This window comes from Homo sapiens, chromosome 3 (genome assembly GCF_000001405.40).
Source record: "Homo sapiens chromosome 3, GRCh38.p14 Primary Assembly".
In the NCBI taxonomy this organism is placed as follows: Eukaryota; Metazoa; Chordata; class Mammalia; order Primates; family Hominidae; genus Homo; species Homo sapiens.
This window is the reverse complement of record NC_000003.12, coordinates 143,125,716-143,143,452: the sequence shown is the minus strand read 5'-3', so window position 1 is coordinate 143,143,452 and position 17,737 is coordinate 143,125,716. Positions and strand designations below refer to the sequence as shown.

The 17,737-nt window shown below is 41.7% G+C and overlaps 1 long non-coding RNA gene across 1 annotated transcript, besides 1 other annotated feature; it reads left to right on the top strand.

Moving 5' to 3' along the window:
• Positions 354-877: an enhancer, noted in NCBI's record as "H3K27ac-H3K4me1 hESC enhancer chr3:142861418-142861941 (GRCh37/hg19 assembly coordinates)". NCBI's record gives its function as "activates a minimal SCP1, AML or CMV promoter by ChIP-STARR-seq in primed H9 embryonic stem cells {active_cell/tissue: H9 hESC(primed)}" and the evidence as "EXISTENCE:reporter gene assay evidence [ECO:0000049][PMID:30033119]".
• Positions 10,655-15,757, top strand: LOC105374137 (uncharacterized). The gene is made up of 3 exons (XR_924554.3): positions 10,655-10,742; positions 11,519-11,567; positions 15,384-15,757. It is a non-coding gene; the product is annotated as an uncharacterized LOC105374137 (long non-coding RNA).

The following is a 17,737-nucleotide window of genomic DNA, read 5'->3' as shown; positions in this document are numbered from 1 at the left end:
AGAAAATGGACTCAGCTAACCAGTTGATAAGGAACTGAATAGATACATTCACACCAAAACATACAAGTATATAATCAGAGTTATATTATCCATAATCTGTTCTCTTTTCAGCTGTGGCAGCAATAAATGTCGGTACTCACAAGTAAATAGATGAATTGTTAGAACAGTAAATATTCAATAAATGTTTGCTAAAACACAGTAAGTAAAAATATATATATATACTGAAATTTCTATTAGAATAGTAGTTTATGTCTTGATACTTTACAGGCCATAAAAATAAGTTGATACTAAAGAGATAACTGAGAAGAAAGAATGAAAAATGTAAAACAGCGACACCTAACAAAACCCTCTTGTATTGAGATAATTGTTCTGGTTGAATGACCAGATACAGCATCCAGATGTTAATCTCTAAATACCATTCTCCAATAAAAAGGAATTTGGCTCCTTGGAATAATGGCTGATTCCAAGACAAAGAAAGGAAAGTAAAAGATAACCTTGGACCATATTATGCTTCTAAAAATAAATGCTCGAAAAATGATGAGGCATGTCAAAATGCACAGGAACCAACTGGCCAAATCTGGGACGGTTATAGGTGGGTCTTTTTTCTTAGAGCTCCCAAGATGGGGCGGGCAGCTCCCAAGATGGCAGCAAGTCTTTTGTTCTCTGACCTGGGGTTCTTGGCCTCACAGATTCCAAGAAATGGAACCTTGGGCCATGCAGTGAGTGTTATAGTTCTATTAGAAGCCGTGGGTCACCGAAGAGAACAATGGAACCCAGCAACCAGTGTTCAGCTCGATTAGGACGAACCCGGGCACTTAGCCGTGCAGGAACAATGGCGAGCCTCTAGCCTGATCAGGAGCCACAGTGGGCGCCTCACTGGATCAGGAGCACAGCAGGCACCTTGCCGGATCCGGAGGGGTGGAAGTCAGCGGCAGGTCTGCAACTGCGGCGTTCAGCAGTGGTGGATGGCGAGCAAAAGCTCAGCTTGAGCCGGAACAAACCCGGACCAGGAGAGTGTGCAGTTGCAAGATTTAATTGAGTGAAAACAGAGCTCCCATACAACGGGAGGGGACCCAAAGGGGGTTGCCACTGCCAGCTTGAATGCCTTGGGTTTATATCCCGATCACTGTCCCTCCCCCTATGCTCTCAGGTGATAGATAATTTGACTATTTCTTTACCTCCTGCTTTTAGCCTAATTGGTATTTTAGTGAGCCCTCTTTACTACCTAATTGGTCAGGTGTGAGCTGAGTTACAAGCCCCGTGTTTAAAGGTGGGTGCGGTCACCTTCTGCAGCTAGGCTTAGGAATTCTTAGTGGGCCTAGGAAATCCAGCTAGTCCTGTCTCTCAGGACAATTTCAACAATAAAAGAAATAATCATAGCAATTGGTGATTATATTAGATAGGATAGAATAAAATAAAATACATTAATCCATATTTATATAAATAATTGAATAAACAAATAAATGAGAGAGAAAGGAAAACTATTCCTTGCAGTAGAATTTTAATTAATAAGTATAGAAGAAATGATGGAAATAGAAAATTATCATTTGACAAATACCACAGTAATAATTGTTCCAGGCAAGAATTATCAGCGGATGCTAAAACTAATGGGTACAAGTATGAAAAACAAGATATTTACATGGTCTCAAAGTATCTCCCCATAAAATACTTCTTTAATTACAAAGGGGAAAATAGTAACTTTCCAGTAGAGAACCTTGTGAGACACCACCTTAACCGAGTTATCAGAGTTAATATTGCCAGTTGTAGAATAAATCAATCTCATGTGCCTCCTCATATGTTGCACAAAGAAGGACACAACATCACTTCTGTGATGTTCTTGTCAAAATGCATAACCTGAATTTAATAATTATGAAGCATTAGACAAACTCTAATTAAGGGATATTCCACAAAATAACTGGCCAGTACTCTCAGAAGTGTCAAGGTCATGAAAGGCAAAGACTGAGGAGCAGGTTGTCACATATTAAAAGAAAATAAGAGACATAACAAATAAATGTGACATGTTATCCTGAATTGAAACCTGGACCAGAAAAAAGATATTAGAGGGACAATTGGAGAAATGTGAATAAGATCTCCAGATTATACAATAGTATTACATCAATTTTTTTAATAGTTTTACTGTGGTTTTATGAAATGTTAACATTTGGAGGATCTTGGTTGAAAGGTATACGAGAATTCTTTTTACTATTCTTACAACTTTTTGTAAGTCTGAAATTATTTTAAAATCAAGCATTAAAAAATAAAGAAAATGTTTTTAGTGGTTCTGGCTGAGGTTATGCCTGGAGTTGGCAGTTAGGGGCAGGTTGTTATAAGAACCAGCTGTGTAGAGATCAGACTGTATGGTCCATCATAGAGCTAAGAAGTCAGCCACAAATAGAGGACAGCGGTGACTTGAGAGTTCGAGGGTTCAGATAAAACCTAGTCCCTGCACTAACCTGACAACCTTACTCCATACCTTTGATCACTAGTCAGTTTTCACAGTGCTATAAAGACTACCACCTGAGACTGGATAATTGATAAACAAAAGAGGTTTAATTGACTCACAGTTCCGCATGGCTAGGGACGCCTCGGCAAACTTACAATCATGGCTGAAGGCAAAGGTGAAGCAAGGTATGTCTTACATGGTGACAGGGAAGAGAGAGAGTAGGGAACACTGCCGTTTTTAAAGCCATCAGATCTCGTGAGAACTGACTCACTTATCGTGAGAACAGCATGGAGGAAACCAACCCCATGATCCAATCACCTCCCTCCAGGTCCCTCCTCCATACCTGGGGATTACAATTGGAGGTGAGCTTTGGGTGGGGATACAGAGCCAAACTATATCACCCACAGATGCTTCAACTCCACCCTATTTGCAACTGCTCTCAAAATAGAGAACAGCCTTGGGGCTTTGGACAAGTTACTTAACCTCTTCATTCTTCATTTATAAACCAGAGCAAATAATAGCAGTTAAGTCATAAGGCTATTGCGTGGATTACCTGAAATCATGTGTAAGGTACTTTTCTGGCACAGAGAAAACTCTTGATAAACGTTGGCTACTCTAATCGTCATCTTCTTCATCATCACCATTTTTTTTTTGCTTAGAGAGCCTCACCAGAGGCACTCTGTCCAGCGCGGTCACCACTGTAACCCCAGCCCCTCACACGATGCCTTCACAGAGTGGGCACTCAACAAGCACACTATTCAAATGGAAGGAAAAAGTATCTGGCCCCAGCTGACCTCGTGAATTATTTAGGACACAGATCTAGCTGTTACAACAGAGATCCAAATTACCAGTAACTTAAATAAGGCAGAAGTTTATTTTTCTCTCACAGAACCATCTGAACATGAGTAGTCCATGACTGTAAGATGCCTTCAGTATCAGGACCCAGCTCCTGTCTTGGGGTGGGGCCATTCCCGGAGGCTCCTGACCTCATCCACATTCCGGTCAGCAGGAAGCGGAAAAGACAAGGAGGAAGGACACACCCTTTAAGGACACAGCCCTGAGAATATACGCATAACGCTGTTTTCTTCTCACTAGCCAGAACTTGGACGTGGACCACATCCAGTTTCAAGGGAGGGTGGGAAATGTAGTCTTTATTCTGGGCAGTTGCATGCCTCTCTAAAACTTGCTGGTCCTGTGACTATAGATGAAGGGGAGAATGCGATTCAGAAGGCACCAGGAATCCTGCCAATCTCTCCAGCTTGATCACTCACATTCTATATGCCAGCCCTACTGGACTTCTCCCAGGACTTTGCACTCACTGCTCCTTCTGTCTAGTACCCTACCTGGGCCCTAACCCCACCACTTAAGAGAATTCTGGTTTCACCTTCAGGCCCCAGAAGAGATGTTACTTTCTCTGTGAAGCCTCCTTGAGTATCCCTCCCCAACCACCCAGTAGGGATTAGCTCCTCCTCCCTCCTTGAACTTGTCTTACAGTGGCATTTGTCACACTGTCCCTGAACTGTTTGTTAGTCTATCTCTCCTACTGCAACATACATTCCAAAAGGGCAGAGACTATATGTCTGTGTCCCTTGCAGATTACAGCTCTTTAAATTTCTGCTGAATTATCAAGTACATACTTTTGAGAATCTATATTTGAATTTCCAAGCTACTGAAGCTTGGCCCAATGGAAGAATATTCTCAGCATAAACATGACCACTCTACGCCAGACCCAGGCAGGTAATAGAGAAGGTAACTGTGAAATCAGACCCACTGCTTATGAGAGAAAGGACCTCAGATGTGGTGGGCCTGGGAAAGCTTTTCCTGCTCTTGACTTATGTTTCTGCCTGGCTGAGCTGCAGGACAACAGAGACCCATCACTGACACCTCCCGCAAGGAAATCAGCCAGACCAGGAGCTGTCTCTGGACTCAGGACAGCACCTATGCACTTCCTGAGCAAAGAGAGTTGGTGTGGCAGCATCAGGACTCTGCCGGCTGAAGTCACAGCACAGATGGTTAAAAGCCTTTGATTTTTTTTTCCAGATTAATTTATACTTTGGTGCCCCGTGAGCCTTAGGCAAAACTGTGTGAGCCAAGGAGAAAGAGCATTTCAACCAAAACAGTTTTTTTGTTTTTTTTTGTTTTTTTTTTTTTTGCTTAATACCATTTCCTTTAGTTCCAAATCAAAGTCTTAAATTTATGTTTGTGGATTTGAGGTTTGTTTTTGTTTATTTGAGTAAGGAGAGTGAAGGATATGGTTTTAGGTTGTTTTCCTTACCCAAAGTTCCACAAAGGGGCAGAGAGAGAAAAATATCAAGCCCATGTGGAAGAATAAAGAGAAGTAATCATGTGCTAAGTTGCTCTATTAAAGGCAATCTAATCCGAAATCTAATCCTAGCTCTATTACTGGGCTTAGAATTTCTGTTTTACCCTCGTTTCTTTGCTTAATGCTATTTTCTTCACTTCCAAAACAGAATTTTAAACAAAAGTTTGGGGATTGAGGGTTTGCTCTTGTTTGTGAGGGGAAGGTAGAGTTCTTTCAATATTAGAACACCAGGCATTCTAGGTGTTGGGCAATATCAGGAGTTTCCTCTCATTTAATTTTCTTGCCAACTACATAAAGGTTATAAAACAGGGTTCAGAGTGACTAGCTGGTACATAACAGTGTCTTCTCATCAGAGAGCACCATCTGGAAGAGAGGCCATTGAACTGGGCACAGTGGCTCACGCCTGTAATCCCAACACTTTGGGAGGCCGAGGTGGGCGATCACCTGAGGTCAGGAGTTCAAAACCAGCCTGACCAACATGGAGAAACCCTGTCTCTACTAAAAACACAAAATTAGCTGGGCATGCATGCCTGTAATCCCAGCTACACGGGAGCCTGAGGCAGGAGAATTGCTTGAACCAGGGAGGCGGAGGTTGCAGTGAGCTGAGATCATGCCACCGCACTCCAGCCTAGCAACAGAGTCAGACTCTGTCTCAAAAAAAAAAAAAGAAAAGAAAAGAAAAAGATACAATGTTTTCTCTGAATATTTAGGAAAAGTTAAGGGGCACCCAAGAACTCTTTCATAAGGACATTAAAAAGCCCACAGATCATTCTTGTTCCTTGGCCCATGCTAGACTACGATGTCACCAGCTGGTAACACCTCTATCCATCAACACCTCCCTCACTTCTTGTCTCTTACTGGCTGTTCAACAGGCCAGTGAGACTCAGTGTACTTTCTGGGAGATGCACAACCTCTGTGCTCTGTGGCTGTCTCCTTTGACAGTGAGCACAGAGTTATCACATGAAATAGTAATAGTTGTCACACAAACACACAAGCAAAGTCTTTATTTTTAAGTACATAATACTGTGGAAGATGACAGGTTTGGAGTTTTTTGAGGGGATTTTCCCCAACCTACTGTGAACATCACAGGATGTCTTCATAATGCCTTGAGGACCTGATCCCTAAAAAATGATATCCGTGTTTGACTAAGTGTTAAGTGTGCATCTTTATTAACAATGGGGTCACTGAGGTCCCATGGCTGTAATTCTGATTAAGAAAATAAGCACATAGTCTTCCTAATCATTCCATGTCAGCTAATTCTAAATTGCACCAAAATGGAAATAGTTGCTTTCCCCATGCCCCTAGATAGGACATTTCTATTAACATTGCTCACTGGTTTCAGAATATAGATGATACATGATAATTATTCAAATAAAAAATTATATCCTAATTGGGTATTTGGGTTAGATAACTTGAAGTATCCTTGAAAAAAACTAAAAAAAAAGAAAAACAAAGATTCTTCAGTAATTATCCACATGTGAGAAGGAGTTTTCTGATGTTTTCTTCTTGGCAAATAACCAGACCTATTCTAGGTTTTTAACTTGACAGCAGGCAATGTAGCCATGTCAATCTAAAATAAGAACACCTGTAAATTCTTTTTCTTTTTTCTTTTTAGAGTCAGGGTCTCACTCTGCCACCCAGGCTGGAGTGCAGTAGTGATGTAATCATAGCTCACTGCAGCATCAAACTCCTAGGCCTAAGTGATCCTGCCACCTCGGCCTCCTTTTTTATTTTATTTTATTTTATTTTATTTTATTTTATTTTTATTTTTATTTATTTTTTTTTTTGGTAGAGATGAGGGCTCACTATGTTGGCCAGGCTGGTCTTAAACTCCTGACCTCCAGTGATCCTCCCACCTTGGCCTCCCAAAGTGCTGGGATTACAGGTATAAACCACTGTGCCTGGCCTAACCTCTTTAATGGAGAAATTAAAGGTGAACAGTAAGAGCATGGGCTCTGGGATGAAATGGACTGGCTATACCAATTACTAGCTGTGTGACCTTAAGCAGTTTACTCCTCCTCTCTGTGCATCATCTGTAGACAAGGATATGAGTAGTGGCTATGTTAGAGGGTCACTGTGAGGACTAAATATATGCACAGAACTGTGGCTAGAGCAGGGCACTACATCAAGATTGCAAACAATCATCCTCTGGATGTCAAAGGAAGGAAATATTTTCTACTCATTCATTGCCAATGTAAAGTTGCTTTTTAAAAGTGAACAAACCACTGGACGCAGTGGCTCATGCCTGTAATCCCAGCACTTTGGGAGGCCGAGGCAGACGGTTCACTTGAGGTTGGGAGTTCGAGACCAGCCTGGCCAACATGGTGAAACCCCGTCTCTACTAAAAATACAAAATTAGCCAGGCCTGGTGGCAGGCACCTGTAATCTCAGCTACTCAGGAGGCTGAGGCAGGAGAATCGCTTGAACCTAGGAGGCGGAGGATGCAGTGAGCCAAGATTGCTTCATTGCAGTTCAGCGTGGGTGACAAGAGCGAGACTCCATCTCAAAAAAAAAAAAAAGTGAACAAACCATCATCTTAGCTAATCTAAAAGGGCTGGTACTTCTCCCTGAGCAAAATGCATTCACCTGCATCAGCTGGCCATTAAGTGCACTCGACCCCTGTTTAGCCTCACCTTGCACAGCTCTGATATGTTAAAATGCTATTTGTCTATGAGACAGCCTCCTTACAAATACACATACACATGCATGTTTGTGCACACATGACTGTGTGTGTATCTAGAGAGCTAGATATAATGGATAGCTAACCATCTATTGCCATGGTCTGTGGATTTTTCCCCACACTCAGTGGTGAGAGCCAGGGTGGCCAACTGTGGAAATTACTCTTGCCCAATGCGTGCTCCTCCAGGATACCCCAAGTCTAGTGTGTTTCACAATGTGTTCTGTTTAGTATGTAGTAGCTCTGTTCTCTGCCATTTACTGGAGTTATAGACCATGCTGGCTGTCAAAAATTATATAAATGAAAGTACTTAACCTGCCACAAAGAAACAAAGAAAAAGTAAGATGTTGGATATTAAAATGCAAGTTACCACAACCAGAATATTTTCATCAGAGTGGTGAGGTAACCATCTATAAGCAATTAAGACCTCCTGGAAGTCCTCTGATATTTTGGGGGGAGAATGGGAATCATAACATTACTGTAAGTTAGAGAACTGACCCACAGTCTGTAGAATGGGGACTGGAAGAAGTAATGACCAGAAGACAGAAGTTATTGCAGATGGTTTGAAAAGCCCGGAAGGGCAACTGCCAATGGCAATGCCAGGACCACATCCCCATAGAGACAATGTTATTAGTCATCACTCCCACTTCCAGGAGAGCAAACCGCAGCTACAAGGAATATGAATGTGTTCCTCTCCTGCCCCCAGCTTGAAGCTTCCTAATATGCATTTTTAAGCAAATTCTTAAGTTACAGAAAAGAAGTGACTCATTCTTTCTGTCTCACATTATTAAAAGTTGTGCAAATCATTTATGTTAATATGCATATGTATGGTAACATGCATGTATGTTCCTTAGATGAGACTCTGTTTTTCTAAATTCACTCAAAATGAATGTGTTATAGCTGGGTGTAAAACTCTTAGGGTAAGAAATATATTCTTACTAAAGGGGATAAGTGGAAATCAGAAAAGAAATGAATAGATTTACATTGTCATTTATACATAATGTAATTTGTAGGGTGTCTGACAAACCAAACTTTCTCATCACCCAAAAACAAGCTCAGAAATGGAAATCTTAGTCTTTTTATGTGATTTATACAACGCTTGTTTGCCTTCATCCCTCCTAATATCATATGCTTGAAAAGACTCTAAGAATCGAATCCTGGACCCAGCCACATGGCTAAAATGCTGCAGGATGGAAGCCCAGAATTCATTTTAACATGTATTATTCCCTAGACTGTGACAGAATTCAGGTTTCACTTAGCCTTCTCCAGGCTCCCAAAACCAAGAATCTAGTGGGTTGTTAACATATTCATAGGTAAACAAATGCTCAGTCCTTTGGCAGGCTGCCAGGACATGGTGCCAGGAAGGGATCCAGGCAACCATGGTGAAGCTGTGGGGGTCTTTCACCTCCCTCACTCTGTGGGACTGGACTACTGCAGATGCCACACCTGGCTTTCTGAGCATCTTATCTGTAAATTTATGGAATCCTGTGGACAAGATACCTACTGGTAGAGTCTTGAAATGCAGCCAGAATTACTGAACTGAGGTGGTACTCTTTAGGCCAGCACAACCACTCCAGGCCAGATGTTTGCAAAATGCAATTGACTATAAGTCTGTAGAGCAATCCTTCCCAAAAGCACAGGAATCACCTGAGGATCTTATTAAAATGTAGATGGGAGGATCGCTTGAGCCCAAGGGTTCGAGGCTACAGTGAGCTATGATCGTGCCACTGAACTCCAGCCTAGGTGACAGAGACCCCATCTCTAAAAATAAATAAATAAATAAATGCAGATTATGATCTGGCAGTCTAGAGAGGGGCTGATACTGCTGGTCCAAGGACCCGACTTTGAAGAGCAATGCTGTAAAGTGAGACCATTCCATACACAGTAAAATAAACATGGTTTGGAGGCATCCCGCGTGCCAGACACTGTGCCTTCTGCTGGAAGCACACAGATAAGACAAGAGCCCTGCCTTACAGGAGCTTGTCCTGTAATAGGAGAAACAGCTTATAACACACTGGGTAAATTCTGCACTTGTTGAGATTCTTTGCACTATAAGGAAGAAAACATCCAATCTACAGTGGCTCAAACAAAAAGGAAATGTAACTGGCTCCTCTAATTGCAAACCAAGGGTAAGGCTGACTTCAGACCCATTTTAGCAGGGCTAAAATGACTTCACCAGAACCTAGCTTCCCTTTGTCCACCAGTCTGTGGTTTCTCTCTCCGTATCTTTTGGCTCTGCTCTCCACAATTTGACTGTCTTCTAGAGGCACCATGGATACCAGTCCTTATGTCTTCTCCTCTTTAAATAAGAATGCCTGCCTAACCCCGAAATCTGAGCAAAAATATCAAGATATCTCATTGGCTCTAATTGGGTCATGTGCTCAGTCCTTAGCCGATCATTTTGGTCTTGGGAAAGTCAGCATGGCAAATGCTAGAGTTGTGTGTGAAGTTAGATCCAACACAACCACATGCACCAAAGAAGCAGGAGACAGATTTCCAAAAGAAAATCAGGGCTTGGATGCTGGGCAGCCACTGTCCCACAGTCAGTGCTAAGAGGTGTTTTAGAAGCATGAGCAGGGGGCAATGAGGGCATGGAGAAAGACACCGGTACCTGATAAACACTATCAATGTGTGTGTGTGTGTGTGTGTGTGTGTGTGTGTGTCCCCAGATACAGGGCAAAATGGCAAAGTGCACACAGTGCCAGTCTGGAAAGGACTGCTGATTGGTTTCTTGGGGGCTTTTAAGTCAACCCTCCTCCACCCCTACCTCTACCATGGTGCAAATCAGTCACTTCAGAAATAGTTCATTCACTACTTCCTGTGCAGGAGATAAGAAATGAAAAGTGTGGTTTAATTGCTCCCAAGGTGATTAAATTGCCATATTGACCAGACTGACACACATCTAATAATTTGAGGCCAATATAAAAGACTGTGCAGCTGAGTGCTAATTTGTGCAAAGAGAAAGGAGACATTGGTGTGGGCTAGAATAGAAGCTTCCACAGGCATTGAACAAACAGATGGAATAATGAGCTGGTTTATGCATTGGAACAAGACAAGACCAAATGAGTTGTAGGAGAGGACAGTGCCATCTTCAAAAGCAAGCACAACTGCAAGAGTTGAGTGCCCAGATCAATGACTTCCTCTCCGCCATGACCCTTTCTACCATTACTCATGATTTCAATATCCATTTTAGGAACCCATTTGACATCCTGGCCTTTCAGCTTCTTATCATCTTCGTGCTCTGATTCAACATAGCTACTCTTGTTGTTGATCAGTGACAACCTCACCACCCCAGAAATGTAGGTTTCAAGAATTCTTACCCACTACATTTCTGCATTCTATCATACCATAACCATATATATATTTCAAATATCTGATCTCATAGAGTTCCAGTCCAATATTTCTCCTACTTTTTCCCCATCCATTACCCATCATCCAACTATCCATCTTCTCCACACCTGAATAAAAGCAGCAGAATGTAGCTAGAAAAAAAATCATGCAACCTTTAAATTCATTATAGCCACAAATGTCCAAAATAGCAATGATGATTCTGATGACAACCTTGGTGATATCATTTATTAACATTTATTGAGTATCATTATGAGACAGCCTTATTCTCAGTTCTGAGTCAGTGTGTAATTTTCTTTGGCTTAATTTAGCTCGGTATTTCTCAAGGGGACCACTATTAACATTTGGAGCAGGACAATTCATTATGTGGGACTGTCCTCAGCAAGGCAGAACATTCAGCATTATTGCTTCCAGCCCACTAAATGCCAGTCCCATTCCCTAGTCATGGAAAAAAAAAAATTCCAAAGGCTGTCTCCCAATCTTTCCCCCAACCAGATTGCAGGGACCGTCCCACACCCAGCTGAGAACCACTGGCTGAGTAGAAAGAGCACTAAATTGGGCATCAAATCTGATACATACCATATTCTGTGACCTTGAGCAAGTCACTTAGCTTCTGAGTTTCAGCTTCTTCTATAAGAGAAAGATCATAATCCTATTTCTGCCCAGTAATCATAAGTTTCAAATGATCTAATAAAATATTAATGAGAATATTTGCTGTATCCATTAGGACTGTACTTGGCTGTGAGTAACAAAGTCGGCAGCAACAGCTTAAACAAGTAAGTGTTTATTGTTCCCACATCATAGGTATTCTGGAGACCAGTGGTCCACGCTGATGAAGTGGCTTCATGATGTCATCAATATCCCTGGCTCCTCTTTCTGCAAGCAGCTTTTACTCCCTGGCTCCCTCTCAGTCACAAGGTAGAGGCCCCACTTCCATACTCAATCTGCAGACCAGCCAGAAAAAAAAAAAGGAAAGAAAAAGGACAAAACAGGCAAGAAAAAGTTCTGCCTATATCAGATATATAAAACTTACCCAGATATCCCCAGCAGAATTCCATTTACATCTCATTGGCTGTCACATGATCATTCCTACCTACAAGGGAAACTGGGAAATATTTTTAGCTGAGCATATTGCCTCCCTGAACAAAATCAAGGTTCTACGAATAAGAAAGAAGGGGAGAATGGGCAGTGGGTGGGAAATCAGCAATATCTGCTGTACTTGTTAAACTTACGAAGCATTATAAAAGTATAAGGCGGCATGATCATTAAACCCTGAAAGAAGGCATATCATAAAATACAGTATCTGCATGAATTTCACTACATGAATTCCATCTGGTGTCCCATTTATCTGCATTACTTAAGGCTAAGTAAGTGAATGGTCTTATTTATATCCAACAAGCATGGTGGCCCAATTAACTACTGAGGCACATCTCTGCCCACATTTTAACATAGCAATGCAGAGTGAAAAACCTTGTATGTAGTGGACTCTAAAGAAAATAACCCCCAATTAGTCAACGTAGCAGGAGAATAATAGTAAAGTATATTAATGAATACAGAAGACATTTATTGGTTAAGACCACCTGGCATGCACTTCCCCTACTTTTGATCATTGCAGCCTGATTTTCTTGTGAAAAATCACTTGCCCACATTGTGTGCAGATTGGTGAGACTATCAGTCAAGGTAGCTTGCTCAGGTGCCAAGGCACAAACACCTGACCCAGCCTCAGCTGATCCAACTCTCTCTTCCAGGACTTTGAATTCTAAATGTGTGAAATACAACAAAGAAAGAGAGGGAAGGAGGAAGGGGAAAGAAACACGGAAGGAAGAGGGAGGGCAGGGATGGAGGGATTGGGGAGGGAGGGAGGAAACCAGAATATCCCACCTGGTTCTTCAACTGTTCTTCCAATTGTGTGGGCTTTCCCATCTTTTCCAGCTAATTTCCTGATTTTCTCAATCTAGTTGAGTCCGTTTTGCACCAAAAAACCTGAACTAACACTCTCAGACCACCCTATTCAGCTGTCTGCTTTAGTTTCAACCTCATCTCCTACTAAAGTTTGAGGAGAATCCCAAAGGGCACTTCTTCTTTGATCCCCAGACATTCTGTAAAGACATTGATAAATACTGGAATGACCAAAAGACTGGTAGGAACCAAGGAAATAAAAAGTCTCAGGGTGAGAGCATGTCAGAGAGCTCTGGACTGGGAATCAGAGGCTGTAATTTCTAGTTTGTGCTCTTTCTCTAACTAGGAATGGGACACTGAGTACATCATTCAGCCTTTCTGCACCTCAGCTTCCACACTTGTAAATGACTGAGCTGACACTATCACACAGCTTTTATGGCATGCCAACATTTCCTAACTTTGCTACATCTCCACCTGCTCACTGAGTCCTGCCTGTGCAGCCTTTAGAGTTGCAAGCCATGTATTAGCCTCCTGGACACGCCCTGCTCCTTAAGCTTTGATGAGGCCACCTTGTCCTGTAAAATTTAAACAAGATTGCCTAGAATCATCATCTCACAGTTGGGGAGAAACTTTTCTCCCTCCCAGACACCTCTTGGGGTAAACCAACACTTCCATGGACCAACTCTACCTCCAGATTTCCTTTCCGTGAATTTGCATTCGCCTACCTTTCACCTCCTTGTAGGAACTGGCATGTTTTTGCCCCACGTCATCCCATTTGTCACTACCTTGATCCCTTCAACTTTCAAAGCACCACTCACTAAAGGCTAGGCATGTGGAAACCTTTACTTGAGGTTTGGGGAAACCAAGGTGACTACACGGCAGCACAATTGAGCAAACAATTCCACCGTGGGCCCTGGCTCTTCCAGTCATTGGCCATTCTCTTCTCTTCTGGGGAGAGCCATTGTGATCTCCCCTCTTGGTCTCCAGTATCCTGTCTTGTTTGTTCCCTGTTATTCCACCCTTTACCTCTTCCCCTCTCCTTTCAAGCTCTTTCCCGCAACCCCCAAATTTCCTGTTTGGGTTCTTTACAGAGCTTGTTTCCACCACTAAAACAGCCTAGGACAGTGTTTTCCTAAACAAAAGTCATTCTAAGAGGAATTTTGGCCAAAGGCACTTAAACTAACAATTTTTTTTTTTCTGCTGCACAAAAATGCATCTCTAAAGATACCGAAAACACTTGCTCCTTGTCTGAAGGCATAATGCCATAGGATGAGTTTCTCAGAAAGCACTGACTGGGACAAAAAGGGTTTGCTATTTTGTTGGTATGCCTTAAATGGAAACAGGGTAGTCTCTGATGTACCAAGCAAAAAGAAAGAGACTTTGCCATGCACTAGCTGTGTGACCTTAGGAAAATTACCCATGTGAACCTTCTATATGCCCTTCTGTAAAATGGGGACCATAATGATACCTATTTCACAGAATCGTGATGAGAATCCAATGGAATCACACTTATAAAATGCTTTGCACAGTGACTGGCACATCATCATTCTTGCTATTTAGGGCATTTGAAAGTGAAATGAAAATGGTGATAGAAAGTTATAAAGAGCACAGCACATGAAGTCACTTGGGAAATGTGAAAATATAAATGAGAAACTATGTGAAGTAAAGATTTAACCTAAATAATGTGAACTCAGAACTCACATCCTTGGGAGAATACTGGTCTCACCAGCAAGTAGGTCTGGTTAAATAACAGGACTAAAAACAATTGATATGAATGTTATTATCTCAGAAAGAAGATATGTTCTCATTCCTATTTTCCTTTAGAGAGGAATAATGTAACAGCATCCTTCATGTAAAAATACTGAGCACCAATATGAGAAATGAAACATTTTAATTCCTCCCAGGAGCTAGTTCATTCATAGAAAGACTGGGAGCTTGCCAGAGCAACTGGGACATCTGAAAATGGAAATGTAATATTTAGACTTCTACATTGTTTCTGAAAAATTTTTCAGTTCCTGAAATGGTTAAAAGATGATCATACTGGCCATGACCTCTACATGTCAAAAACAAATACAGCCTCAGCCAACATGACCGTAATACATTTTCCTATTCAACTCAAAAAATGTGTTGGACTGTAATTCAGTTGTTACCTTTCGTTTGGGGCCTTCAGTTTGTTTGTTTCTCTTTCAAACATTAATGTGGAAAAACATTTGAGGCCTTCCATGGGCATTATTTGGTATTCCTTTTTGTCTATATTAATTTGCCTTGCTTTTTCAGCTTCTGTCTGCCCCATACATATGAAGTCCAGGACAAGAGAGGAAACGGGCCTATAAACAAACAATTCCAATCTGTAGCAGCACACACTGACAGATCTATGCAGGAGGCAGTCGGAGGAATAACAGGACAGAAAGGCATTTCTGCATCTTGGAGCAGGGCTGATGAATAAAAGTTTCAAAAAGATCCAGGGTCTTAATAATGAGATTCACAAAGTGGAGAAGAAATGGGAGGCAGGGGGTGCAGTAGAGAGCGTGGAGAAGTTATTCAGAGGAAAATGGGACATATCAAGCCTACAATAAAAAAACTTAGCTGACTATACTTAACATAATAAAGAGGTATATCAGTTTGTTTAGCACATCTTGTACATTTACTCCTTGACCTTATTGTGACTTGACCTTTTGCTTTTCCATGCATAGACTTTCTGTCTCTATTACATACTACGCAAATCAAGGGAGAGCCCTACAAAAGTTACAGAAGGGAACAGCCAGAGGACAAGGACACCATGTTCTTCATCCTCATGCAAGACATCTGACCTGTTCTTCTGAGAGGAATCCCAGGAACAACACACGCTCTCTCAGCCTCCAGCCGGATCAGTTCTGAGTGTTCTCAAGCCCAACCAATGATTGAGGGGGCACTGTCAATCTCTTGCTGCAATCATCAAGGATTGTTTGTCATGTATGCACTGACCTCTTTGGAATTCCATCATGCAAAGTGCGCTTGCTTGTCTTTGCTTTCATTATAGTTACCCACAATAACTCATACCTTTGCACTCATTTTCCGAGAACTTGTAGGACACCATTATTTGCTGTCTCCTATAGCCAGGCATTTCATCCTCTGCATCTGGAAACAGGGCCAGCTTCAGGGATATACAACCTGCACAGTTACACAGGGCCCCCCACTCAGAAGGACCCCAAACTTGGTTTCATTCTGTGCTGCTGCCATCTTGAAAGGCTTAATTGTTTTTTCAACAACGGCATTGCATTTTCATTTTGCACGGAGCCCTGCAAATTATGTAGTTGATCCTGTCTAGAAGACTAACTGCCTCAAGGTGAATTTCTATCAAGCCCTGTCTTTACACCTGGGATGGGAGCCATTACAGACTGGTTCTGAGTACAGCTTTTAGCCCCAGTGATCATTTTCATTGCCATTCACTTGGTAGGGTGACTATTACCAACCTAAAAGTTCAAGCAGCCCAAAAATACTTTTGATATTTGATTACAGATAACTGGTTTGACCAAAAGTTAAGGTTTATCCTTGGCCATCCTTTATCATCCTGTTACCATGTGTACAGACAGGCTCCTGCTCCTTCAAAGCTCCTTCATTTAGAAACAATACCAGCACCCCCTACCCCAAACACTGGTTCATACAGTTTCCAATTCTATAAACTTAATGTGTTATGCAAAGTTCAACATTTTCTTAGCATAATTTGATTAAGGATGTGCAGAATTGCATCAGATGTAATAAAAGCCAAGCCCTGTAATTTCAATTATTAAATACTTGTACCAAAGCCTGTACCTGAGCAGCTCAGTGGCTCATACTTGAACTGCAAAAGTAGCAACTGAATGTACAGAAAGCAGGGAAAGTGTCTGAATGAATTGTTTTCTTAGCTGTGACAGATTTGAAAAGGGTTTCCTCAAGGTGAAGGACAAAAGGGGTCTATAAACTGCGCATTTACCTCAGGACATCCCATCACACACCTCAAGTCATTCCTCAAATTGTGATTGTCATTTTCTACCTATCCCCATTGGATCCTGACGCAGAACTGTCAAGCTTTCTAATATAACAATTGGCCGACCACTCACTCTCCAGAAGCCTGAGATCAAAAGTGTGCCTCACCACGCATCTGTTAGCTGGGATTAGAACATTCTCTCATCCAGATCTCTTCAAGACGATGCAGAAACTCAATTGTATGTGTGTGTGCATGTGTGTTGTGTGTAGGGAAGAAAGAAAGTTGGAGGAGGATGGTAAAGTGACACCTTGTCCTTATTTACCATGCCTACATGATGAGACACGCTTTTCATTTCCCTCTTGCTCTTCCTAGAGTCATCTCTAGAGTCTGCGTTTCAAGACCTAGGGAATATTTAATAGCCTCCCCCAAATTCACATTAATTTCAAACCAATCACATAATCCAGCTGCAACTGTACTGTGTACAACAGAAATCCTGGACAAAACTGGCTGTGGCCAAGCAGGGAATGTATGGGAACAGGCAGCCATTGTCTCGCTCAGCATCCACAATAGGACAAACTTCCTGAAAGTAACCATCCCTACACCTGCAGAAAATCTATTAGGTGGGTGCAAATGTAATTGCAGTTTTTTACCATTACTTTCAATGACAAAAACCACAATCACGCTTGCACCAACCTAACACATCACAGTCCATCAAACTACACATTCACAGCACTCAAAACAATAAGTGCCACATGACTTCTGCAAAAAAAAAAAAAAAAAAAAAAAAGCAGCTTTTTAGCCCTCCCTTAGACCCCTGGACAACATTTGCTCCATCACAGTCCATCAAACTACACATTTGCAGCACTCAAAACAATAAGTGCCACATGACTTCTGCAAAAATAAATAGCTTTTTAGCCCTCCCTGAGACCCCTGGACAACATCTGCTCTGCAGGTTTGTTCTGATCCCCGCCCTTATGGTGTTCATGCAAGTGGGAAAACAGTAACAATCAAATTCCTTACTTTGAAACATTTACCTCTCCACATTTAGAAATTGTGCATTTTTTCTCTAATTCATCGCTGGGAAATAGTCTATAAACAGTT